General features: G+C 45.4%; 2 protein-coding genes across 25 annotated transcripts in view, besides 9 other annotated features; one reads left to right on the forward strand and one right to left on the reverse strand.

Annotated features, from left to right (window-relative positions):
* PCCA (propionyl-CoA carboxylase subunit alpha) overlaps nt 1–22,420 on the forward strand; it is a 441,343-nt gene extending 418,923 nt beyond the window's left edge. For 14 of the 21 annotated variants that reach the window (NR_148030.2, NR_148028.2, NR_148031.2 and 11 more), the window contains 3 exons: nt 7,412–7,552; nt 19,660–19,737; nt 22,083–22,420. Coding sequence is in view for 15 of the 21 variants with exons in the window: in XM_017020609.2 (XP_016876098.1) it covers nt 7,412–7,552; nt 19,660–19,737; nt 22,083–22,151 (288 nt within the window). In the remaining 6 variants the exon portion in view is untranslated. Of the gene's footprint in view, nt 1–7,411; nt 8,044–19,659; nt 19,738–22,082 lie in introns of those variants that run through there. The other 7 variants (NR_148027.2, XM_047430373.1, XM_017020613.2 and 4 more) reach the window with 3 other exon arrangements.
* Nucleotides 1,274–1,892: an enhancer, noted in NCBI's record as "NANOG-H3K27ac-H3K4me1 hESC enhancer chr13:101161543-101162161 (GRCh37/hg19 assembly coordinates)". NCBI's record gives its function as "activates a minimal SCP1, AML or CMV promoter by ChIP-STARR-seq in primed H9 embryonic stem cells {active_cell/tissue: H9 hESC(primed)}" and the evidence as "EXISTENCE:reporter gene assay evidence [ECO:0000049][PMID:30033119]".
* Nucleotides 1,893–2,511: an enhancer, noted in NCBI's record as "OCT4-NANOG-H3K27ac hESC enhancer chr13:101162162-101162780 (GRCh37/hg19 assembly coordinates)". NCBI's record gives its function as "activates a minimal SCP1, AML or CMV promoter by ChIP-STARR-seq in naive and primed H9 embryonic stem cells {active_cell/tissue: H9 hESC(naive and primed)}" and the evidence as "EXISTENCE:reporter gene assay evidence [ECO:0000049][PMID:30033119]".
* Nucleotides 2,512–3,129: an enhancer, noted in NCBI's record as "OCT4-NANOG-H3K27ac-H3K4me1 hESC enhancer chr13:101162781-101163398 (GRCh37/hg19 assembly coordinates)". NCBI's record gives its function as "activates a minimal SCP1, AML or CMV promoter by ChIP-STARR-seq in naive and primed H9 embryonic stem cells {active_cell/tissue: H9 hESC(naive and primed)}" and the evidence as "EXISTENCE:reporter gene assay evidence [ECO:0000049][PMID:30033119]".
* Nucleotides 9,047–9,771: an enhancer, noted in NCBI's record as "H3K4me1 hESC enhancer chr13:101169316-101170040 (GRCh37/hg19 assembly coordinates)". NCBI's record gives its function as "activates a minimal SCP1, AML or CMV promoter by ChIP-STARR-seq in primed H9 embryonic stem cells {active_cell/tissue: H9 hESC(primed)}" and the evidence as "EXISTENCE:reporter gene assay evidence [ECO:0000049][PMID:30033119]".
* Nucleotides 9,220–9,514: an enhancer, noted in NCBI's record as "tiled region #10114; HepG2 Activating DNase matched - State 5:Enh". NCBI's record gives its function as "activates a minimal TATA promoter and a strong SV40 promoter by Sharpr-MPRA in HepG2 cells {active_cell/tissue: HepG2}" and the evidence as "EXISTENCE:reporter gene assay evidence [ECO:0000049][PMID:27701403]".
* Nucleotides 9,220–9,514: a silencer, noted in NCBI's record as "tiled region #10114; K562 Repressive non-DNase unmatched - State 23:Low". NCBI's record gives its function as "represses a minimal TATA promoter and a strong SV40 promoter by Sharpr-MPRA in K562 cells {active_cell/tissue: K562}" and the evidence as "EXISTENCE:reporter gene assay evidence [ECO:0000049][PMID:27701403]".
* Nucleotides 11,222–11,887: an enhancer, noted in NCBI's record as "H3K4me1 hESC enhancer chr13:101171491-101172156 (GRCh37/hg19 assembly coordinates)". NCBI's record gives its function as "activates a minimal SCP1, AML or CMV promoter by ChIP-STARR-seq in naive and primed H9 embryonic stem cells {active_cell/tissue: H9 hESC(naive and primed)}" and the evidence as "EXISTENCE:reporter gene assay evidence [ECO:0000049][PMID:30033119]".
* Nucleotides 17,097–17,619: an enhancer, noted in NCBI's record as "H3K4me1 hESC enhancer chr13:101177366-101177888 (GRCh37/hg19 assembly coordinates)". NCBI's record gives its function as "activates a minimal SCP1, AML or CMV promoter by ChIP-STARR-seq in primed H9 embryonic stem cells {active_cell/tissue: H9 hESC(primed)}" and the evidence as "EXISTENCE:reporter gene assay evidence [ECO:0000049][PMID:30033119]".
* Nucleotides 22,165–24,971, reverse strand: part of GGACT (gamma-glutamylamine cyclotransferase) — a 58,610-nt gene continuing 55,803 nt past the window's right edge. For all 4 annotated transcript variants that reach the window (NM_001195087.2, XM_047430708.1, XM_011521129.4 and 1 more), the window contains one exon: nt 22,165–24,586. In NM_001195087.2, coding sequence (NP_001182016.1) covers nt 24,115–24,576 — 462 coding nt within the window. In that variant the 5' untranslated portion in view covers nt 24,577–24,586 and the 3' untranslated portion in view covers nt 22,165–24,114. The remainder of the gene's footprint in view (nt 24,587–24,971) is intronic.
* Nucleotides 22,354–23,323: an enhancer, noted in NCBI's record as "H3K4me1 hESC enhancer chr13:101182623-101183592 (GRCh37/hg19 assembly coordinates)". NCBI's record gives its function as "activates a minimal SCP1, AML or CMV promoter by ChIP-STARR-seq in naive and primed H9 embryonic stem cells {active_cell/tissue: H9 hESC(naive and primed)}" and the evidence as "EXISTENCE:reporter gene assay evidence [ECO:0000049][PMID:30033119]".

The following is a 24,971-nucleotide window of genomic DNA, read 5'->3' on the forward strand; positions in this document are numbered from 1 at the left end:
ACAGTATAACTGGAATGAGCCTTGTGTTTCCAGTTACAAAAACAAGACAGAACAAAGGATGAGGCTAGATTTTTGTATTATTGACAACCCCATATTCTTCCCTCCAGAGGAGAGATCATCTTTCGGAAGCAAGCCCGAGATACACACAGTCTTACCCATTCCTTCAATGCTGTTGATGATTAGCCTTAAGATGGTTCTTTTCTCTAAGGAAACCCTCCCCATTTTTGCAGGATGTTTGAAAAATGAGTTGCTGAATGGGCTTCAGATATTCTTATTCTTCTGTTTTGTTGGGATTTTCTTCCCACTCCTATTTGTGTTAATTTTTCCCTCGAAAAATGAGATTGCTGCTCACTGCCGTTGAGCCTCCTTGTGGCACATTCATTGGTCCAGTAAACGACTTAACTCCAAGAACCACCTACCAGTAACACAACAAAACCTTGAGTACAGATTGATTCATAAATGGCAGCGGACGAGTGTTGAAAGTGACGCATTATGTCGCTGCAATGTATTGACATTATCAATTGTGTGTCACTAAACAGCCAGGCTAACTGGATGATTTACTTTGTGTTTAACTGCCTTTTTCAGTTGGAGCAAATGTTGAGGAACTGGGATGCAATGTCAGAAACCATATATTTTCTTCTGTTAACACCAGCTTCACTGAGGCGTGTTGGTTTTGGCTGCAGGCTGTAAGGCTCTAGTGTAAAAAGGTCTAAACAAGTGATTAATGCCCAGGAGGCAGGGCTTTACACTGTCTCCACATCTTTTCTCCTTTCTATTTGTGTTGCCTTAATGCTTGGGGTGGGGGGTTCAGGCTATTTATTGTGCTGACGTTGGTTTCCATCCTGAGAGTCCTTGATGTTTCTTTGTGGATTTTGTTTGTTTTTAATATTATTTAGCATAATAACCTAAACCGTAAACGCTTGCAGTTGCGATCCAGGTGTCCTTAGTTCAGCAGTCAGACGTATAATAAGGGCCACTCTGTACAGTGAAAGGTGACAGCTGTGGCCCCCAAAAAAGCAGCTCTGGACTTTCCCCTCCCAAGTTTCAGTCCTGGTAACTTGAACTAGACTTGCTAGTTTCTTGAAACATTGTTTTATTTTCTTGCAAGTTAGTGTGGTGTTCATATTTCACAACGCTGAAAGATACAGTGTTTCTCAAATGTGCACTTGCCAGTAGACGGATATGTTAACTGTTACCGTGACGCTGAGAACTGGAGCTGCTAACTGACCCTATGCGTTTGTTCTCTGCGTAAAATGTTGTAACAGTGCTAATTACTAAGCAGCTGAATTTGTGAGAAGGTCCACAGCACTAATCTGCGCCTCAGTGTTGCCTTGCTAGTGAGAAAACGTGAGCATGTACTCAGGACACATGTACTTGATGATGAACTTCCAGGGGCACGTTTATCTGTGGATCACGGACGGTTTGACTTGTGGGACGTAACATTTGATTTCTATATGTGCGCTTTTGAGACACTCGTTTTTACCCTATTAAGAGTTGTTGAGTGCAGAACAAGACATTTTAAAAGGGAAGAGTAACATTCAGAGATTTTAAAACGGAAGCTTTTAAATTACTACTTGCTTCTGTTTATTTTTTATTTTTTGCTAGTTTTAGAAAAACAAGGAAGAATATCTCAAGTTGGAATAGTCAGATTTCAGTGTTTGGGTGATGGTGTTAAAATCGTTGTTTTAATGGTAGATGAAAATGATTCTGTTCTGTTGGATTCACATCCTGAATAAATGTTTCTACACAATTAGAGTCTATAACAGACTAAGCCAGCATAGTGGTGGTGTGGGTTTTTTGTTTTGTGTTTTTTTTGTTTTGTTTTGTTTTGTTTTGTTTTGTTTTTGTCTAAAAGAACAACTTCAAGCCTTGGGAAAGAATTTGTTTTTGCCCTGTGGATGGGTCAGAAACATCTGCTTCAGGTATAGTTTACAAGCGTTATTTATTAACCCATGAGCCGAAAACCCAGATGAGGAGCTCTGACTATTGAAAACTACACATTCCATGTTTTTATAAATGTATATTAAGATGAATTCCACATACCTATTATTTGGATTTCTGGCAGCCGGAACTTCTACAAGGAATTTGTGTTTTTAAAAAGGAATGTAAAATTAATTTTTCTTGTATCAGAGTTTTGCTGTATATGAAGAAATCCTGCTCATGGGCAGAAAGCAAAGGTTTCAAAGGAACCTCATCTCCATATGGTTTTACTCGATAATCCTTTATCCACCATCTTCAGCTCTCATTCCTTTGCTTTCTCGCCTGTGGCTACATTTCTATCTCTGCATCAATTAGCACAGTGATTTATACAACAAGCAAGCAGTTTAGAGGTAATGGTACACAATTAACATCTCATTCCACCATAAAGGGTATGCTAAATACCCCAGTCATTGCTTTCTCTGCCTGGAATTGAAATAAGTGTTTGTCCTAATTCATATGCTATCTGATGTGAAGTGGGCCTGCTTTGTACCGCACTACACCATTAATCTAATTATAGATAGCTGCAAATGAAGTGCTGTCTGAGCTGGGAGATTGAAGAAAATAGCCTTTTGTCATTTAGCATGACTCTGTGAAGCAAGATCACACTTTACAGGGCAATACTACAAAATGGAAATCTCAATAATATTGCTGCCTGTTGCATCTTTTCTAATTACAACAATATTGTAAACACAACTGGGCGCTGATATAAATAGAGCTGTAGATATGCTGTCATGTGGGTTGTAGGAGAAAGTCCTCCGAGTGCTGTTGGATTAAATGATGCATCCTGATTGACAGCTACCTTGAGACTGCACTGATGGAGTTGTCACAGCATTATGCTAACAGGCTGCTCCAGCGACTGCAGCTGTAGGAGGCTGTGGTTCGCCCTGCGCCTTAGCTGCTGCCTGTCCATGTCCGCTCCTTTGCCTGGGCTGCACCTCCAAAGGAAGGACGGCCGTAGGCTTCAATTCTGTGTATTGTCACTGTTGTGTCTTGGAGATTTGTGGTGGTGGTGGTGTAGCTCAGATATCAGGCGATTGGGCCCTGTGCAGAAGTAGAGGGAAATTATTTTGTATGGCTCCTAACCTTGCTCTGCTTTTCCTCAAGTGATAATTGTGTACCCTACAAAGAATTTAGGAGAGTAGAACGTGGTTGAATTTCAAGTCTCATTCCACTGAACTGTTTTAACTCATATCTAGTTTTTCTCTGCTTTTCAGCCACGCCAGTGTTTTTAAAGATGCATCATTTTTGCATTTCGCGCTTTCCATCACTTTAAAAACACTGACACTGTTTCTCCAGCTCTGAGTTAGGACAGTAGACCTTTAGGGGAATATTTGAGTGTTGCTCTCACTGCCACGCTGCGGAAATGAAGACAGAGCTTAATGTTGGAGACCTTTGGGGCCAGAAGGTGTAAAACCTTGACTAGGAAGAGAGCCTAATCTTTGAAGAAGTGTCTGCCTCCTTACTTAGTGAGGGGTGCATGGACAGTATTTGGCCAGTGCTTCAAGATAGCTGATGCACAGTGATTTACAGTCAAAGATAGCACCTGCCCTTGAGTTGGTATTGACTGAGATGGCCAACAGTTGAGGACATGAAAGAACATTAACAGTCAGTCAACTGTACGTGTCCTAATTGTTACTGGAAGAATGACTTATAAATGGAAACTGGAAGTGAGCCCACTTGAAGAGGAACGGAGGTTGACAGTGGCACTGGAGGCTTTGAAATCACAGCTGAAAACTGTACAGCAAACTGCAAGCGCTCACCTCGGGAGCAGCCGCAGACCTCGGGATCATTGCAACATTTAGCGCATGGGGTCTGCAGAATTACATTACTGCTACTTCTACAGGCTGTGGAAAAAAGTGGGTGGATTTAATGCTGTAAGGAGGTGCATGTACTGTACAAATACAGAAGCCTCCAGGGTGGTATTCTGTGTATCCGTGAAAGTGGAGTGTGTCTCAAAGTGGGTCATTCTTTGCTGTCTTTGGGGTGCTGATTTCTGGGGTGCAGGCATACATGCCCAGTTGCAGGATGCTTTTCTTAATGAGGTCCAGTGATAACATCCCTCTCTCACCCAGACTGTGACTAGCCGCCGCCTCCTGCTGCAGCAACCACTCTCAGCCCCCAGGCTTTCAATAGGTCCACGGAAGAGCTGCGTGTCAGTTTTAAAAACAATCCCACTGGTGTTTCTTGTCATTGTCCTGCTCTTGTGGCCTTCCTCCTGACCCTTTCATGTCAGCTGTGATTCCTTTTCTTTCTTTCTTTTAATCTTTTGGGAGAAATTTTCTTGTTAGACATGATTTCACACTGTAGAGGCCATAAAATTAATTTGCTTAGAGACCCGGGTTCGGGTCACCTTTCCGTCATTCAGTCCTTAGATAACACCTCATTCCCTCCCATTACTGTCGTGTGTGGGTTGAGGAGTCCCACCAGGCCAAGCCAGAGAGCAACTGTTCTGTTCTCACTTACGTGGTGAGCTGTTTTTCAAGAACATTTTTTTTCATTTGGCTGTGTGGTCTGGAGAACACCTTCCTAAGCCAGCGGAGTGAAGTTCCACGCACTGACCAGCCCCGAGCTCACTGGAGCGAGTCATCTTCCGGCTCCATGGCAGCCCAGCCCCACCCACAGGCAGCTGCCTGTCACCCACGCTGGCATGTTCCCTCATCCTACCCAGGCAGCGGGAAAACCTGGCTGCTTCTGGGATCCTACTACTCTGTCCTGTCCACAAGCCTTCAGAGTCTTGGATTCCTACCCTCAAACATCAACTTTGTGATTTATCTTCTTGAAAACAACCACAAAAACTTAAAATCAAAACTCTCTAAGGGAGTTTCGCACAACCCTTGAGGAATAGTTAAATGCCCACGGTGAAACCGAGCTTGTACCCCACGGTCCAGGTAGGGGCACATTCCTGAAGTCTCACAAAGCATTGGCTCTCTGTGCCCCCAAAGAATCCAGAGATGCTAGTAAATAGCAGTTTTGATCAGAAGCTTGGAAGGCCCTGGTGTACATTCTTAAATGACTTCTTTTCTGGGGCATCAAAAAGCTTTTACGGTTCTCACCAGGCAGTTCATTCTGATGGGCCCCTACGCTGCACCCTGCTTGGGCCCCATCCCGGCACGCGCCCCGTGCAGCACAGCACAGGCCAGCTGAGAGGCTGTTTTAAGAAGGCGTGTTTGTGTGGTACACTCACGGGCTCAGGACAACATCAAAGGTAATCTTAAAAAGAGAATCTCTCTCTGTCTTCTCTTTTTATATTCAGAAAGGTCATTTCTAAACCAACTATTTGCACCAAGGCCTCTCTGGAGGAGTTTACCCCGTTGTTATTTTTTACTTGCTATTACAATAAGTCACTTATCCCCCAAACAGATTTAAGAACAATAAACAAATACAAAAGGAAAAGGAACATCTCATCAGTAACAAAGACTGCATCTAAAGGCATTGAGTTTGTGATTCTTTTACATCTCTTTCCAAGCAAAGCAGGAGTCCTACAGAGAAAGGAATCTGAAAGATGAAAATTATAAAAATAGTAAAAGGATCCAGTGTTCGTCAGAATCTTGTAATTTCTGGGGAGAAATGAAGCTAAATACAGTCTTAGCGCTTCGTTCATATGCAGGCTGATCTGTGATATAACTAAACTTAGTTTTTGGAGTATATCCACTGTGGGGAAATGTGGTAAATCATATTCTCAGCGAATGAAGATACTTTTCCTGAATTTAGGCTTCATATTTTGAAGTCGAATTCTGCAAAACAAGAAAAAAATAGATCTGTGTGCTACACTGAAAACTGAACAAGGCACGTCGTAAGTCAGTCACACAGAAGGCGCAGCTCAGGGCGATACCAACTAGAAAAGTAACTTTTTTGTTGACTCTGATGCCTCTAGTGATGTTGGATTTTTTCCCCCATTGCAGACAGCACAGATAGGAAAACTGTGCAATTTGGTCCAATTATAGTCCTCTCTGTCCCTCCACACCTTCCCCCATTGATTTAATGAAGGACTTGGAGGTACAATTCACTGATAAATAGTCCCTCTGCCCAGAATGTTTATTAGACTGACAGCAGCGTGCACTCTCCTCGCTTTTTCCCTCACCACTTATGACTCAGATGAATTTTAATAGGAGCAAAAAGCTTTTATTTGCACTGTAATTTCACTTAAGGAACATATCCTTCAGAAACTGGCAGACGCTTCTATGTCTTGATTGCAAAACACACACTCAGGAGTAAAGAAACATGCAAAAGATGTTATTATTCAACCTGTCACAGTGTCGCAAATCCACTTGGAACTTAGGCCATCAAAGCTCTGCCCCCACCCTTTTCAGTAGGCCCTGTGAAGAGGCACTTAGAGATTCCCGCCGTCCCCATGCAGAATTAAAGGGGGAATTATATTTTGTTTTTGCATCCCTGCCATCATGATGCCCACAGGAGGCTTTGAGTTACAGCAGGTTTTTTGAATGAAATGGAGCTGTCTCACTGCTGCTTCTTTCTTACCCAAGAGAAATCAGACCTGGTAGGGATCCAGAACCTTCGGGTGGTGGTTCCAATTTCACCAAGAGACACTTCCTCAAACCATTTTATCTTTTTTCTGTTTGGATAGACCAAATTGTGGCTCATAGATTTATTCACGGAGAGGATAGGAATTCTCTTTTTTGAAATGTTCTGCTTCACTGAACTGCCCTAAATATGCCCGATTGTTTGAGAGCCACCTACAGAAGGTGCCATGAATATACTTGTCTGTGCGTATTTTCCATCAGTGTTTATAACATCTTGATGTTATTGTCTCTCAGTGCAGAAGGCTTTCTCATTATCTTGCATCTTTTCCTAACCATCTTGTTACATCAGAAAGACTACATAGTGCCTTTAAGAAAAGCCAACGTTTTCAGTCATGAATATAACATTTTCTGTCACTGAAAAAATGGAATTTTAAATACTATTTTGCCCAAAATGAACACTGAACCCCATTGTCTTAACTTACTGATACGTAGTGCAGCCGCTCTTGGAGGGCTGTGGGAAGCTGCAACAGCCATCTGCTGCCATCTACTGGCGCCTGTCCACATGTCACCTCCTCCATCCCCTGGGTCTGCCCAGCTCATGGGATTTTCCTTGATAGGGATAAGTTTGTAGGTGGTGAAGGGAATACAAGTAAAATTCTCAGTTTTCTTTATAACGTTTTGAGATGTTTTTCTTAAAGATACAGGATGATACTTATCAATGATTAATTTTAATAACTGGAATAGCCCTTATTTCAAGAACTTTCTGAAATAGCTCAATATATGACAGAAACAAATATATTTTGATGTGTGCAGCAATTGAGAACCATTTGAATTTAAGGCTCTTACTGTAATTTGAATTTAAAAGCTAAAAATTGATTTAGAATGAATGCTACTTTTGAGGAAAATTTCATTTAAACTCATTTATGGTTTGGTTTTGTTTTTCCCTTAAGTACAAGGTGAATATCTTAACCAGACTTGCCGCAGAATTGAACAAATTTATGCTGGAAAAAGTGACTGAGGACACAAGCAGTGTTCTGCGTTCCCCGATGCCCGGAGTGGTGGTGGCCGTCTCTGTCAAGCCTGGAGACGCGGTAAGGGCTGTGTGTGTCTCTCTGCAGGACATGCTGGTCTCCAACTTCCCCTTCCAAAGCGACGGCTAACGGCACAGCACGATTCGGCTCTTTGCAGTTCTTACTTAACCGACGCCCCCTAAACAGCAAAATCGATTGCGTGTGTTGTCGACCTGTTTCACGTTTGCATTACGTTGGTGCCAGGACCCTCAGCGCTTCCCCTCCCAAATGATCTGGGAGTGGAGCAGAAAGAAGGCCAGATGCATTCCATCATTTTGCAAATGCAGTGTTTTGGGAAGTACTTTCCTTAAAAGTGCTGCTTACTCTCTAGTATGCTGTGCTCAAAGCATCCATTGAAGTCATGCCAGGGAATAATACTCCGATGAGGAACTTTTTGCATGATTCCTGGAACAAATGTCTAATTGGGAAGAAGAGTTGAGGAAAGGTTAATTCTGCAATCTGTACAGTACCAGAGCACTTCCATTACTTGGTAAATAAAATGTAGCATCACAGTTTGAAGTTTTTCATCTTGATCTTGTGACATTAAAGCACAAATCAAAGCTATATTATTTCCTCGAGATAACTTACATGGATGAATTGATAGGATGCACACATTTTCTTAGAACATGGATAGAAATCTCTACTGATGAGCAGCAAAAGTGAAAAGAAAACAATTTAGGAGGCAACCAGATTTCCAGGTACACTTAAATACTTGCATTTTTATTCATGTGCAGGAAAATAGCATCCGGACATGACTGTCTCTCATGGATGAGGTGGTGATTCCGTTTTGTATCTCAGGTCACTGGGACTTACATTTTAGTGCCTCCTGATTTCTCAATAGTACAGATAAAATATCTGCTTAACATTGAGGAAAAAATCAGGTAGTTGGCATTGGCTTCTAGAAAAGTATTTGCAATAAATGTGAATATTAAGAAAACATGATCAGTTTTAGTTGTTTGAATGACCAGCCCTGAAACTAATATGCGAAGTTAGAAAACCGACTTAACAGCTGCTTTACCTGGTGATACAGAAATAGAACTGTCCACTTTTTCAGAAAGGCATAAAAGAGGCTACGTGGCTGTGAATTGTTGTTTGCTGTGAAAGCATTGATACTCCTGGAAGAAAGCCCTCTTTAAGACTGTCTAATGCCCACGTGTTAAGGATTTGGGAGAGGCCATAAGAAAAATTACGTGTGTGTGTGTGTGTGTGTGTGTAATGTGTGTAAAATTCAGGGGAGGACATCTTCCTTCTCCAGAGTTAGGGTCGTAAGAGGATAGTCTCGTGGCCTTGACATTAAGAATCGTTCACTTGCACGTGACATTATCAGAGCTGTCAGTGGAATCTTCTAGTGACTAGATATGTAGGTTCGTAAACAATATAAGGGTTTTGTTTTGTTTTTTTCATTTTTCTTAAGTTTTTTTTCTGGAAGGCATCTATCTAGTCTGTATACTGCCAGCCTGAGCTTTCCACTCCTAATTGTGTGGCTTTAATTATAAAATCGTGTGTGTGTGTGTGTGTGTGTGTGTGTGTGTGTGTGTGTGTGTTTCAAGTAAGTGTTTTCCTTAAATCCTTTTCTAACACCTGAATCCAAACCGGAGTGGAGGGAGGGCGGGCAGGGATGAGGGAGACCACTCCTGCCTCAAGCCTGGAGGGCAAGAGGGTGAGACTGCAGCCCTGGCCCCTCACACGGCCCTCAAGGAGGTTGCTCAGAGGCAGTAAACGGGGCGCTCCCAAGGCCAGATCAGCGCAGCCTTCTGGTTTCTTTAACAGCTGCTGGCTCCTGATCTGACTTTCCCACATACCGAAAGGGTTTGGCCTTTGTACGTTCCATTTCCTGGTTAATAATTGAATGTAGAAAAGCAAGGCATTTCGTAAATGGGAACAATGTGATATCAGTCCTTGGTTCATTGATGTAGCTCAGATATTAAAAACACCCACCAATAATTAAATGTGTGTACTCATTAAGAATGGTTTGAGAACTGTTAAAAATATGTTACGGCAGAGCAACGGGGCCTATATTTTATGCATTCCTTTAAATTCAGAGTACCTGGGGGGCACGCGTAGTGAACAGGCTCAGGACCTCGGGATCTGTCAGCTCCCTCCTAAGTTCTGTTTGCGGGGGCTGCTCAGGTGGGGCGTATACTTGCTTTTATTTGTCTTTTTTGGTACTTGCAGAACTTCCTTTCATATTCTGTGCCATTGTGTTTTGATGAAACAGCCTTTTCTCTTGAATTACTGCTTGTGAAAAATGTCCCAAACCACTAATACCGAAACCCAATGCAGCCTGAGAAGTTTCATCGTCGGCTCTTAGCGCAACTTCTATAGTTAAATTCTGCTTAGTGTAATTAAAACACAAGAAGCTTCCTTGGACCAGAGGCACGTCACTTACTTGAGGCCATTGTGAGGAAACACTACCTGTCACGTTGAAATTTTGCGGTTTTAAGTGATTTTAACACCGCGGGGCGTGTTGTGTTTTCCTCCGCACTAACAATAGCCGGGCGAGGTTCCCCTTTTATGGGTGGGAAGATAATGGAGTCAGTCTCCTTGGTGTATTTTCAAGGAAAATAAGGACCCTAAAACAACTAAGGGCCTTACAAGTATTCTGTTTTTCTTTGAAATGTTACTTTTTATCGTTTAAATTCCAGTAATCTATCATGTTTCTGTTTAGCTTAGCTGAAGTAAAACTTGACCAATCGTAGAATGGTGGGCCTGGCAATAAGTTCTAAAAAAAGTGTCACATAAATCGTAATGAACAAATCTGTTTTGTGAAGTAAACAATTTGAACACAGTTTAAAAACCTCAGGAAGAAGAGATGTGGGGTGGCCGTTGAGAAGTAGTGAATCCGCTCGGGGCGCTTGGTGTGGCAGGGCCTTGTGCACTGATTCATTTGAAACACTCAGCCTGCCCTAAACACAGAAGCTGTGTTTTATTTGAAGGGCTTCTGTAGGGTTCACACAGCAAAAGTTCCTAATAACTTTTTCAGTGTCTGTTATATACTATTTAACATTAAATGTGGCAGGTCACATTTTAAATGATTGTGTAATAGTTTTTCCGAACACGTGGAGAGAGGATGTTAATACACAGTAAAATGCAGGTAAGCAAACAAATCAATAAGAAAGTACAGTGGATTATTAAGGTCCAGAATCAGTAATATAATTTAGGAAACAACTGATAGAATAAATTTTAGTGCCTTTTTATATGCCTTCTGAAAATGTTTCTGCAGTAACTCATTTCAGTTTGAAAACTCGTTTTCTTAGACTCGTAACACTATTGTAAACTGGGAGCACTTCTGTAATCAAAGTTAGCATGACTCAGCTGTTTCAAACTTCTACCTTTATGATACTCTTGAACAGAAATGTTAGAAATATATATATTTTCAGAATAACGGTAGAATACATTTTTCCACATGTCAAATTAGACTTATAGCTGCTGAATTTATTGCATAATTTTCACTTTGACTTTGAAGTCAAATAAAGTCATGATGAGCACATTCGCTTTGTTAGCCTTTTGATATCAGAAACAAAACCACCCCATAAGATAGTCACCCAAGGAGGCATTTTAATATTGCATTTAGTTAAGATTCTTTCAAGTAATGTTCGTATTCTGCAGTCATCACAGATTTGCATCAGAAATACTCATTTAATACACCAAACAAATGAGAAACAAACCATAAGCTGCTATATACTCATCTGCATTTCTTTCTTTCTTAACAATTAGTGAAACCAGGTGAAAGAATAGATTGAAATTAAGTACCTGTTGCTGCTTTTTCTTGCGAATTAGCCCATTCGATATTAGACTTCGGGATATTTTGGTGGGGCTAAGATGAAAAGATCCACCTCGTGATGGAATTGACCTTCAGCAGGGGACAGTGAGGTGTCTGCGGTTGTTCCTCTTGTGAACAACGCCTTAAAGGCGAGAAACAGCCTACTGTACAGTGTGCCAGGGAAAGCATCACATCGGTGGGCGTCGGTGGCAACACCACTTACACTTCACCCTGATTTTGTTTCCTCCTTGCACGTGCTCCTTTGACAGGGCAGGCTCCCAAGCAGGTGTGCAGTCAGGGCCACAAGACACAGGCACCCCATCCCATCTCAGAGTCTGACGTCCCCTCCTCCCCTTTGTCTCTAAGCCTCATGTAACTGAGCTTATAGCCGACCATACAGAACTGGCAAACTTGGTGAGATACCTTTATTTTTTATTTCTTAAACAAGATTTTAAAATTTCATAAGCTCTCACGTATCCTAACGAGAAGGCAGGGCTGGGCCCTCCCGACGGGTGTTTGCCTGGCATCGCGCTTGTGTGCCTCATGCAGCCCAGGCTCGCTCACTGCATCTTTCCCTGGCAGAGGGGCTAGCCTGGCTGCTTCATAGACTTTCCAGTTTCTGGATACCTTGATTTACAATCACAAAATAATTGCAGTAATTAAATTTATATGTTTTATAGCAATAGTTATTCAAGCAGTTTATTTGACAAGATGCCAGTTTTCACCCAAACCTCAGATTGTATCTCACAGCATGTACACAGAGATCCATGCATTTGTTAACATTTTAAGACTTTAAAATTATGAAATACTACAAACATGCAGAAAGTTACAGAGAAGAATCCAACAAGCACTCCTGTGCCCTTTGTTCACCATTTCCATATGTGTTTCAAATTTTATTTAACAATGAGACATTACATATAACATGAACTTCCCCTGTGGCAAGCTCCTCCATCTCATTCCTGTCCTGTCTTCTTCAGAGGTAACGACTACCCCTGGATTTGGCCTTTTAATCTTTTCCAGATAACATTTATTTTTAAATGTTAAGAGTTGGTTTTTGGCCGGGCGCGGTGGCTCACGCCTGTAATCCCAGCACTTTGGGAGGCCGAGGCGGGCGGATCACGAGGTCAGGAGATCGAGACCACGGTGAAACCCCGTCTCTACTAAAAATACAAAAAATTAGCCGGGCGCAGTGGCGGGCGCCTGTAGTCCCAGCTACTCGGGAGGCTGAGGCAGGAGAATGGCGTGAACCCGGAAGGCGGAGCTTGCAGTGAGCGGAGATCGCGCCACAGCACTCCAGCCTGGGCGACAGAGCGAGACTCCGTCTCAAAAAAAAAAAAAAAAAAAAAAAGAGTTGGTTTTTGTTGGAGGTAACAAATATCTATTAGTAGATAAGAGGAGGCAGAAAAAGATGAGGAGGTAAAAAAATATCTATTAGTACTGGGAATTTTTACAGTTGAATATACTCAATGATAATTATAAAATAAAAAATATTTATGTGGATCAGTATATTAAATATTATAGGAGAGTCTTCTCCAAGCTTGGCGTTTGATTTTTCAGGAGTGATCTGCTTGGGAGTAGAAGGTGTTTTCTTTGTTTTCAACATTTTTATAAGTGACCATTCTCAGCCTTACCAAGATGTAAACTATCTTTTTCTCTTTTAATAAAAATAAAAGTTTACAAAAAATCATCCTTTCACGGAGCGCTTTCAGGCAGCATGCTTTACGAAGGTAGAGGGTCCAGGCTAATTTCCAAAGGTATTGTGAATGACATCAGTTTCCACTAGTTCTCTTTGTAACTGCAGGCTTTGGCTCTGATTTTGAGCTAACTTAGAGGGCAGCAGGGAGTCATATTTTTCTTCATTTTAAGGAATTTTAAAAGAAACTGGACTTGTTTTATATCGGCCACAAGTCTGTACTCTTACCCTTAGCCCCTTGGGTGCTGCCCAGTTCTGGGGAGCCCCACTTGAGAGACAAGGGGAGCACCAGGCAGACGGCACGTGTGCCTGAAGTCCCGAGCCGGCAGCGGGGCTGGACGGGTGGCCCCTGGGTTCCCGCGCCCTCCAGAGTGAGGCCGCTCGTGCATGGGCCATTAAAGGAGTCTTCAGCCGGAGAAAGGGCTGGGCGGCGTCTCCTGCCCGCCTGGTCTGTCTTTGTAATTTGATGATGGTTCCATCCTTGCTCAAATACTGCAGTCTCCCGTGGCCTCCTCCCCGTCTCGCTTTACATGAAGATGTTGGGATGTGAATACACGTTTCTTCTTCAGGAAATATCAGGGGATATTTACCAGCCTATCTTACCGGCTCAGAGGAAGTTGCTATTAATATAATCAGATGCGAGCAGGCAGTGCCTTTTCACTCAATCTGAGATGCCTTTTTTTGTGACTGTTAACTGAACCTTTCTTCAGATCTAAGGGCCTTAAAATGTGTGGCATTCAGGCACCTGTGTTCCAAGCAGACCAGCCTTTAACAATGAAATGGTGGGATTTTCACTTTTGTGGCGTAGACACCAGGGCTGATATTGATCCGTGTTTTTCCGGTGGTCCGGCGTTGCAGAAGTGGAAACTGCAGCGGGCTGGTAAGCCCTCCGAGCCTTCTGTCTAATTTGGCAGAAAAACACAGAATGTAGGACAACAAAAGAAGCCTCCTTTTTCCATAAAAATTCTTCCTCCCACCCACCCTTCTTCCCCAAAAAGGGGACTTAATTTTTCAGCTGCACGCAGTGATTTGGTGCTCACTCTTGCATCGAAACAGTTGCGGTCTGAACAGGCAGGAAACAGTTTTCTTTTAATTGCCGAAATCATTCGGAAGTGCTTCATGCCCTGCTTCTGTACAGCAGATGCTGTGCATTAATTGGCCTGCGTAGAAGTGACCCAGGGTTCCTTGCAGCGGGCCCAATTTTAGGCAGAGGGTTTAAATAGCTTATTTATTATTTTGTATAATCTGGCGTACATTGTGTGCTCCTGCACGTGTCGTATTTCATGGTCTGCAGTTTCTAATGTCATGTGGGTTTCAAAACCTGTGTTTCTCTGGTAATGTACTAGCAGCAGGTAAGCTCAAAATACCATCCATCAGGAGCTAATTTTTTATCCAGATACTCCAATGACTGATGAACCTGTCTTTTGTATGAATGTTTAGCACAGTGGAAAGCCATATGCCACTGGCACCGTTTCCTCTGCATTCCTTACAGTTGCTAGAGAGTGGGCTTCCTGGGGGGCGGGGCGGCTCGATGCTGTGAACGTCCCCTGGCCTCTATTTCAACGATAACACCTTTAAAACAGCCCTGGGTTTGGGCAACAAAAAGAGGATGGGCTGTCTTAAAGGAGACCTGACTCCCTCGTCATTTTCTTTATCAGAAATACGACTGCACACTCTTAATAGGGAACCTTGTTTTGTTACTCCCCGTCTGTTCCAAACAGACCTCAGCCCATTAGAAGGGCCTCCCTTGTGTGGGAGACCACAGCTGTTACTGTAAATCTCATCCACTCACTGTATCACCCCCATTTTGTGGCTCTGAAGGATGAAATTGAGAAATGGAATACTGTGCAGTCATCCTTTACATCTCCAATTTTAGGCCTTTGCCATCATTTTCATGCTTTTATTCCAAATCAAATAACATTAGTGAGCTACACCACCTTCTGATGAATATCTGGTCTTGAGCACCGCTTTCAAGCCTGTGCTTGTGGGGGCTTCCTTTTATGTTTGGTGGTCTTTTTTCCCCCGTTCTCTTCTTTTTCTTCCTGCACTTTCTTTGAGCGTTCTTCGTGGTCATGGCAGTCTGCAGTTTGAATGATCGGCATTGCCAAATGTGTCCCTGTCTTAGCATGTTTTCTGAGAGGGGGCATGTGCGGGAGAAGGTTCTCTGTCTTTTAATCTTTGTGGAAGGAGTGAAGAGAACTTGGTAGAAGGATATTGGGGGCTTTAATCAGAAATAAGAAGTGGTTTAAATCATTAGCACAACAAAGCATACTATAAGCTTGAAGATAAAAGTCTCTGGGGAAAGAGTCCTCTGAAAATAAATGGAACTTGATAGATTTCCATATCATTTATAACTTCCCTTAATTACACTTGGAAGACTTGCCAGTAAAACTGGAAAATTGGCAGCCTATATCCATTAGAGTCATTTTGCCGACCATGGCAAGCAGCTGGCTTTACGGGATTTGATTCCCATCACTCACAATTCATCATCAGCTGGAGGTGTCTGCAGCTCTTCAGCACAGAGCAATGCTGGGTGACACTCGGGCCCCCACGACATGCGAAAATCTGCTGAGTAAATGGGCCGAGGTTTCTCTCAAGCCTTGTTTGGGGCAAGGCCGACTCCTGCTTAATGAGTGCCGCTCTGATAATCGGATGCGAACGTGAACCTTGACCTCGTGTCAAAGGAGAGGACGCAATAAGCTGGATGAAAGATACAGGATTCAGGCCTTCAAACTTTACACCAATTAGACAGGGAGCGGGGAGATACATCAGGCCCACTAGGTTCATCAAAAAGACTTGTGAGGCTTGTGACCATTTTGTAAGCCCAACATTGGAGACATCCTGTCACAATCATTAAGTCTTTATCAGATGATTCACAAAAGTGTTGGAGAAACGTGCGCACACATCCTGCAGGAACGGGCCCCGCACATGGGGGCGTCTGATGGAGACGGAATGGTGGAGGGCCCTCTCTGTGCACCCAATTAATGCTTGGCTTCCCAGCCACCCTGGGCAATCCGGAAGGTGTTGCTTCCATTGGGCCCACTGCCCAGCTCCCTGGTGTACCCTACATGTACTCTACGGTGTGCGACACATTCTGCAGGAGTCAGCGCTGCTGGGAGCAAGGCTCCAAAGTCCTAAGGTGAGAGCCCCTGCTCCCAAGGGCCGAGTGCTGGCATTTTGCTGTTGTTGGAAGGAGCCCAGCTCAATGCCCAGCCATCCCTGGAGCACGCCCTCGAGTGTCAGCCTCTTCCCACAGACTGGGGCAGGTGTAGTTTGTGTTTCCATTGCATTCTTTGACATTTGGTTTGTACATTTGGTTCTCCAGCTCAATTTTTTCCAAAGGATGAAACATGTTGAAATTCAATTAAGCTCGTGTGTGTGTGTGTGTGTGTGTGTGTGTGTGTGTGTGTTGGGGTAGAACATGTTTCTGTTGAGCAAGATGTATCTCACTATTTTGTAAGGCATGAAGGAAGTTTTTAAACACCATCTCTTAGGGATGAATTAGGGAAAACGGTCTACAAAACAGATGGTGCAAAATTAATAGAGAAGTGTGCTACTTAGTTTTTCATTTACAGCTAAATAATCTAGGCTGGGCACAGTGGCACACATCTGTAACCCCAGCACTTTGGGAGGCCAAGGTGGGCGGATCACTTGAGGTCAGGAGTTTGAGACCAGCCTGGCCAATGTGGTAATACCCTATCTGTACTAAAAATACAAAAATTAGCTGGGCGTGGTGGTGCACACCTGTATTCCCAGCTACTCAGGAGGCTGAGGCAGAAGAATCGCTTGAACTTGGGAGGTAGAGGTTGCAGTGAGCTGAGATTGTGCCGCTGCACTCCAGCCTGGGCAACAGACCGAGATTCTGTCTCTAAGATAGATAGATAGATTAGATAGATTAGATTAGATTACATAAGATAGATAGATAGATAAAATAGATTAGATAGGATAGATAGGATAGACCGAGATTCTGTCTCTAAGATGGATAGATAGATAGATAGATAGATAGATAGATAGATAGATAGATAGACAGACAGACAGGCAGATAAGATAGATAGGATAGAGCTAAATAAGTAGACTAGTAGACACCACGAGAGGAACTAGGGAGGGGAAACAGGAATGAAAGGCGGATGGAGCAGGGAGGATCTAATTCTATGATTCAGTGCTGTGCTTGGATGGGGCAGAAGATGGGATCGCTTCAGTGGGGACACGCCTTCTTTAAAGTCCTTTGAATTGAATTGCCGGACTCTCACAATCAGACAGAAGGACTATTTGAATTTCAGGCCTCCCCACTTTTCCTGATTGTCTCGGGCTAAATCCGAGGTTTTTTTCTGATGAACAACTGGGGACCCAGCACTTGCAGTTACCTGTGCGTTACCTCTTTGCAAATCACCCACATTAGAAGCACAGAGCCAGCCAGAAAGATGGTCAGTGGCAGCCACAGCAGAGCCCCTTAAGCTCCTGTCCACCACCCACTTGCTCCCAGGCCCTGGCGGGGCCCAGAGTAGAGCTGTAGCCAGGTCAGGCTGGCCTTTGCCCCTAGCGTGACCTTGGGAAATCCCCAGGCCGCATTTCTTCATATTTGCAGTTGAGTTGCTAACGCACTCACTTGAAGATCCTGTAAAACAGAAGCAGGAGCTGCCTGCCTGTCTGGCCCGCAGATTCTGAGCAAGGGGATGGGAGGGGACGTGTGGTGGAAGGGCACACCTACTGGCAGAGAGGGTAGGGGCTGTGCCACCCATGTGAAGCCAATGTACTTGGCGGGGGGACGGGGCTCTGGCCAGTCCTGGGCCCTCAGATGCCTGCAGAGGAAGGGCTGGGTGGGTGTTTGGGAGGCCGGCATGCAGTCCCCAGGAAGCTCCTCCACCTGGAGAGAGAACAGTGCCCAGAGCGGGAGAGTGGATTCCTCATTTTTGGATGGCATTTCTACTATGTTCTGTTGAGTCTCAGATCCACTTCCCAGAGAGTCCCCGGTCCTGTTGCCTGAGTGCTCAGTCCTAGGTCAGAGTCAGTCGCAGTGAGTCCAGCTTCTAAGAGGACACGGCCAGGCTTCCAGGGTCCCCTGTGTGGAGCTGGCTGGCAGGTGTGCTGCAGTGAACTGGACCTGCTCCTGGATTCCCTGGTCTTTGCCTGCCTTTGAAGAGAGAAAAAAGGCTGTAAAATGCCAACTGGAGGGAGTGACTGTTCTGACACCCCTGATGGGGGCCTCTGCATTGTCTCTGCGCTGCCCCTCCCATCCCCCTGCAAACAGCCCTCGAGGCTGATTCTTCGCTCTCCCTGGAATGCAGATGCCACGTGAAAATGAATCAAAAAGGGCAGCGCGGGCAGCGCTTCCAGGCCCAGCTCCTCAGCGCGGTGTCTCTCCTCCGTGCCAGCGCCAAAGCCTTGGCATCGTCTCTCTTCCTATATTTCTATGCCAGGAAGAAGCAGCCCACCACCTGAACAGCAGAGGAAAAGAGTACATCGGCTCAGGCGCTCCAGAGTGCCAGCAAGACAGCTTGCGCCACACGGGGGGGCCAGAGGGGGACTTGGAGATCATCTGGGGATTTCAGGAAAGAACATTCTCTAGGCGCTTCTGAGGCATTGGACGAATATGGCCACAGTGGTGTGAGGGGCCAGGAGCCCCATGCCAGGACACCCACCCACACCACATAGCCATTGCCCTAGGAACCTGGACTTGCCCGTTTCAAAGACTGGGAGGCCAAAGAAAAACCTGGCCGGCTCAGGACGCTGACCCATCGGGGCAGAGCGAAGTGAGTGCGCAGCATGGTTTTCAGCTGCAGCTCACTCCTGCAGGGAAGCCTCACGCTTAACGCCAGTGGGCTTAACCCAGCTCAGCCTGGCTGCCCCTCAGGATGAAAGGCAAGTTCTGAACGCAGTCTGAGCAAAGGCCCGTGGGCGCTCCCAGTCTCCTAGCATGGAATGCATGTAGCTCTGGAAGTCATTCCTGTGTCTGGAGGGTTTTCCGGAAGCTGCCTTGTGCCTTGTTGTGGGTACTCGCTGTGTCTTGCAGAGGATGGGACAGTGGTCCTCGTGGCGCCAGGGCCGAGCTGTTCCCAGTTCCCCGGGACTATAGACAGAAATATGTATATTTGGTGGTGGTTTTTTTTTTTTGGTAACAGCTATACTGAGATGTAATTCACATACAATTTAGCCCTTTAACGTGTACGATTCGGTGGTTTCAGTCAATTCAGAGTTGTGTAGTTGTCACCACAATCAATTTTGGAACATTTTTATCACTCTCAAAAGAAACCCTGTACCCTTCAGCAGTGACTCCCCTTCCCTCTTCAACCCCAGGCAACCTCGAGTCTGTCTGTAGAGATCTGCCTATTCTGGACATTTCAGGTAAGTGGAAAACATTCCAATTTCCGAACACCTCTGTTAGTGGCAGAGCCAGACTCAGAGATCCCCAGGGTAGGCCCCGCCGCCAGGGTCCCCACTTCTCCAGGGTCAGGGATTTTTTTTTTTTCCAACGAGGACTTTATGAGAGAGAGAATGGCTTTTCTCTACTGTTCCTAAAGATGAGCTTGGAATAGGAAACATTAGAGATTGTTGCTGCTGTTCATAGACACATATTTTGGGGCATTTGACAAAGAATTTCTTAATGGCTTCATTCCTAAGTGTTAATGCAAAATTAGAATGCTTTTAAAACTTCTGCCCATTTTTGTTTTCCAGGTAGCAGAAGGTCAAGAAATTTGTGTGATTGAAGCCATGAAAATGCAGAATAGTATGACAGCTGGGAAAACTGGCACGGTGAGTCCCTAAGTCCCCATCAGCCCAGGCCGGCCCTGTGATGGAGGAACGCCCACCTTTGAATCGTGGGTGGTTTGGCTGGAAAGGGCCACAGAGGCGCCCTCTCCCCCTCGCTTCTACAGAGGAGGACGTTAGGATTGGGAGCTTTTGCCATTCTGCCCTGATGCATCCCTGCCTCGTAGAGAGCGTGGCTTCCAAAAAGTCTGTGCTTTATGTTCAGGTAGTCAAAGAACAATTGTTCTTCACCTTAATGTCTTTCTTTCAAATTAAGGGGTCTTTAATTTTTAATGTTTACATCTGTCTTGAAGGCAGTTAGTTATCTGAGACTTAGGTGACACAGCAGCAAATGGTTTTACAAATTGCAAAAATTAATGTAACTCTTCAAGACAATTTCTCTACAAAGGGAACAATTCAGTTGCAGATCAAGAGAAGCCAAAACCCCATGTACATGTGGGACTTAATTATTTAGGGAGAAAAAAATATTAGTACTGAAATTCATTCATAGTGAAACTTAAGTGTATTTTTTTCTTGAAGATAGAAAAGTCCTTTTAAGCAGTAACTTCATTATTCTTCCTGTGACTAAAAAGACTGAAAAGATGCCGTTAGTAGGTAAATGATCCTTTTGTGAGGGCCGTTGTGGTTTGGAAGTGTCTGCATGGGAGAGCATGATGGGAAGCGCAAGGCTGGCCGTGTTCTGCATGTGGCCATGCCTTGGGGACATCAGGTGCAAAGAGAGATCCATCAGTTCATAACCAGGTTTGCATCAGAGAGACACACAACCTCTGTCTCATGCTCTGTCACTGCAGAAGGCAATGAAATGGATTCTCAGAGAAGGGGCAGCGGGGATGTCATGCCTGGTCCCGGCTGGGAGAACAGAGGCCCAGGTGTATGCCAGGGGCTCCTGAGCCCAGCCCGCCGGTCTGGAGGGGTGTGGACAGTTGCACTGTGCTGGTATGGTGTGAAGAGTAGAATGACATGATTTGTGGCGTTTTTAAGGAATTCTTTCTAAATTACTTCTTTAAAAAGTGAACAAGAAAATGTTGGTTTCTGTTCATGTAAAAATTTTATCTGTTCTTTGGGATTTAACATTTGTGCTGCCCTAGTATCACGACATCCATCCATGATGAGAACTTGGCCTAGGTGTGGGGGACCGAGAACGTGTGTCCGCCGCATGCCAAGGGCCCTGTGCGGCAGGTCTGAGGTGCTAATGCAGAAATGACCTTGGCCTCATCAGTTCCCTGAAGGGGCATGGTGCCATGTGGTAGTAGGTTTCCTGTCCTCGTGGCCTGGGTCTCCCTCGGCCCTCCTAGTTGGAGTCTTCCTGTGCATTCTGTTCACCTCACCCCATCCCCAGGCCTCTCAGTTCCAACCCAGCCAAGAAGAGCAGAAGTGGCCCGAAGCCCCCGTGCAAAGTAGCAGGCCCTGGTTCCTACCTGCGAGGCCACTTTTCCTCCCAGAGAAAAAAAGTTCACAAAGGAAACAGATCCTCTACTCTGGTCATCGCTGCATCACTAACACTGCGTCCTCTAGTAGGGCTGCTAAATGGAGGCAGGAGCATTGTGGAAAGCAGCCTTTTCAGTCCAAGCAGCATCTGCAGTGGCCGATGAGTTCTAATCCATTTTTCATTTTCAGGCCCAAGCAAGAGCCTCCAAGAAGTCAAATGACTGTCTCTTCCCCACCTCAAGCCCCTCCTTGCTAATTTTAAGTCAGAACACAAATTTCGGAAAGCAAAACTTGATAAAGATTGACTGAAACCGGTAGGACAAAAAGGCACAGTTCCACCCACCCATGGTGCTGGAAAGGGCGACCGCACAGCCCCACCTGCCAAGGACTCCATTTCCCTTCAGAAAATGGAGGTCAGGCCAGGGAGGTCCTCCTCTTACTCAGCAGCTGATCTGACTGTCGTGTGTTTTGTTCCTTTTTTTCTTTTACACTAAGTATTCCATTAATTCTCAGAGAACATTTCCACAACCTCAAAACCACAGAGAGGGAGGCTAGGGGTTAGAACTCACCTGGCAGTGAAGAGCCTGCCTAGACCTGAGGGTGCCAGAGCGCAGGCCACAGCGCAAATGCTCCGGAGAGTAGCCCTCAGGCCAGCCACTGTGAGGGTGCCGAGGACAGAGGAGACGGGAAAGGGGAGGAGTGAGCCACGGCCACGGCCACCATGGCGCCTCCCTGTTCACCAGGGTCCCTTCGATGGGCTCCGGTGGGGTGGGGTGGCTTGTCCCTGTGCTGCTGAGCTTGCAGGACTGTGCATTTTTAGAAATGGATTAGGAGCCTGCCGCCTCTTGGTTCTGGTTACTAATTCTTACTCTCCCCTCCCCCTGCATTTTTCAAAATTCAAGGTGAAATCTGTGCACTGTCAAGCTGGAGACACAGTTGGAGAAGGGGATCTGCTCGTGGAGCTGGAATGAAGGATTTATAACCTTTCAGTCATCACCCAATTTAATTAGCCATTTGCATGATGCTTTCACACACAATTGATTCAAGCATTATACAGGAACACCCCTGTGCAGCTACGTTTACGTCGTCATTTATTCCACAGAGTCAAGACCAATATTCTGCCAAAAAATCACCAATGGAAATTTTCATTGATATAAATACTTGTACATATGATTTGTACTTCTGCTGTGAGATTCCCTAGTGTCAAAATTAAATCAATAAAACTGAGCATTTGTCTAAATATTAGTTTGCCCTTTCTTTGAATGAAGACAATGTACACATAGGCGACAGGCTCTGCCAGTAGACTACCAGCATTTCTTTGTGATCCTTTTAAGAGATTGATATAAATGTCAGTCAGTTCTCTGCCTTGCTTTATTAAATTAGCACTTGCCATTTTTTCATCTGATTGCCTTACTACTTCTAGAAGTGAGGCCCTCACTCCTGGTGCTGATTTTCAAAACTTCCTAAGGACCAGAGACTGCAAATGCAGATTTTGGCAATCCCTTTCCTGCTGTGTCTCTATGTGGGTGTACTGTTGGTGGCTGACTCCCCTGGAGGTCACCCTGAAGCTTCCTGGTTGGCCGGGGGTGCTGTCTCCACTGTTTTTGTTTGTTTTGAGGATGAGCGCGCTGCCTGGTCCCTTCCCCATTGCACAAGCCAGGGCAGTCACAAGGAGCTTGGGCTGCCTCACCGCCCTCATCAAGCACAGGGCCGCCACGAGCTCATCAGCTGAGACCCAGCGTAGCCTTTTTGTGTTTTTTGTGAAGCAAGTTTCCAATTAAGCAAAAGAAGCTAAAAATAATGATCATGTTTTTGTGCCAGATGCAGTTAGCGATCACAGTCTGCCATTAAGTTGAAGAGTAAGTGAGCTCTCCCAACAGAGAATGAGGTTACTAAAGATCACAGCAGCTGCATTTTCATTTGGTTCTGAAATCCTTGGAATACATTTCAGACTTTGCTGGGAAGCAGAAGCAAGAGCCGTGCACCGAGTTGAATCGATGCTGACAATTATCAGATGGAGGTGGGTAGTAATTGGTACTTCGTGCCTTGCTAAAATTATTTTAAGTGCTGTTTGTATTTGGAAGCTAAGCTTCTGTCAGGCCTGAAGAACAAATTACTAATGCATTGGCTCTTCTTTGAAAGGACTCACCCCCAAATGCTCTCCCTTCAGGGGGCAGGGACGGGGTCTGGCTACTGAGATCTGGGCTCAGATAAACTTCCACTTGAAGTCCGGGCGCTCAGCTGTGTCTACCAGCAAGTGGGTGTTCATTATTTTGCTAGATCAGAATGTAAAGAACCTTCTACCAAATAAGTATACCAAAAAACGTGGGGGTCAAACACAGTACCAACACTTTTATATCTGATTTCCCAAAACATCGACTTCAAATTTAAATAATCTTTAATATTTGCTGTGAAGCTTGATCTGAAAATTAGGAAGAATGGTGCTATACGCACTCTGATATACAGCATGCTTGCCCTGTGGATCTTTTCTACAAATTCTACCCAGCCGTGTAAAATCGGCTTTCTCAGGGGTTACAGGCCAGAATCAGTATAGTAGGGCTGCTAAAATCTAGCGGCAACACCAAGTCTTTACACTGATCCTAAATATTTATTATTATCTTGAGCTCAAAGCAGAGCCAACAGCAGAAACAACACGAGGAGGAAGAAGAATTAGGCATAACACGAGTTCTCTAAATGTCATTTAGGGGAGTTAAAATCCTAAATTTTTCTTACCAGGTAGAAAGATGGGAGGGAAGCACCTTGCTATTCGTATCTCAACATTATTTGTAAAATCAGCTGCCACTGAAAGATTGGTTCCTTTCCGGCAGATTCATTGGAAAGGGCCCTGTTCGGCTTCCGCCTTCACCCAGCATGGGCTGGGCGCATCTTGGAGCCCCAGGGCTCTCAAACCTAGGCCCACCCTGCCCGTCCCCCTTATCTGTTCTCCCGGGGGTTGTAGCGCAGCCCGTGCGGCCCCTCGGAGTCGTAGCTGTCATGGTGCGGGAGCTGGGCCCACTCCGGCGGGAAGGTGGCCCTGCTGTACACGAAGCACTGCACCGCGGTGGGCGCTGGCGGCTCCTCTGCGCCCGGGGCCCGGTCCTCCAGCAGCTGTACCCGCAGCACCGTGCGCTGGTACAGGGCCGGGCAACTCTCGAAGTCATCCAGAAAGCGCAGCATCCGCTCGTCTACCGCGTAGACCTCGCCCTCCACGAGGCGCCCCGAGCCGGGCAGGTGCAGCAGCCACGGGATGTTGTGCTCCCCCGCGATCACCAACGGGTAGGGCTCCAGCGTGCGGCCGCGCGCCCGAAAGGCTGCGGAGCCGTGGGCGCCGTCCCGCAGGACCCTGTGGTTGGGCTGACCCCGCTTCAGGGTGCCGTACACGAAGACTAGGGCCATCCGGGCAGAGCTGCAGGGAGAGGGGAAGTCACAGGTCAGCCCGCAGTGGGAGCTCTGTGTCTGCACCTGGGACGTGGCTCCCGGCCCACAGAGCCTCCACTGGGGCCGCACCACCTGAATGCGCCTGGCTGTGCTCAGATAAGGCGTTACTTACCGACGCAGATGAGAATGACCTACAGTTTTCACACATCATGAGATATTTTGACTTTCGGCCATTTAAACATGTGAAAGCCATTCCTAGCTTGTGGGCTGTTCACAAACGGGCACCAGGTCGGCTCTAACCTGTGGGCATGGTGTTTTTGGGTTTGCCAGTCCCTAGGCTAGAGAAAGGGGCACACATTGGTGACTTCCTTGATGTGTCTGTAGCAGACAGGACACCTGCGTTCTGGGCAGGA

Source organism: Homo sapiens, chromosome 13 (assembly GCF_000001405.40).
Source record: "Homo sapiens chromosome 13, GRCh38.p14 Primary Assembly".
In the NCBI taxonomy this organism is placed as follows: Eukaryota; Metazoa; Chordata; class Mammalia; order Primates; family Hominidae; genus Homo; species Homo sapiens.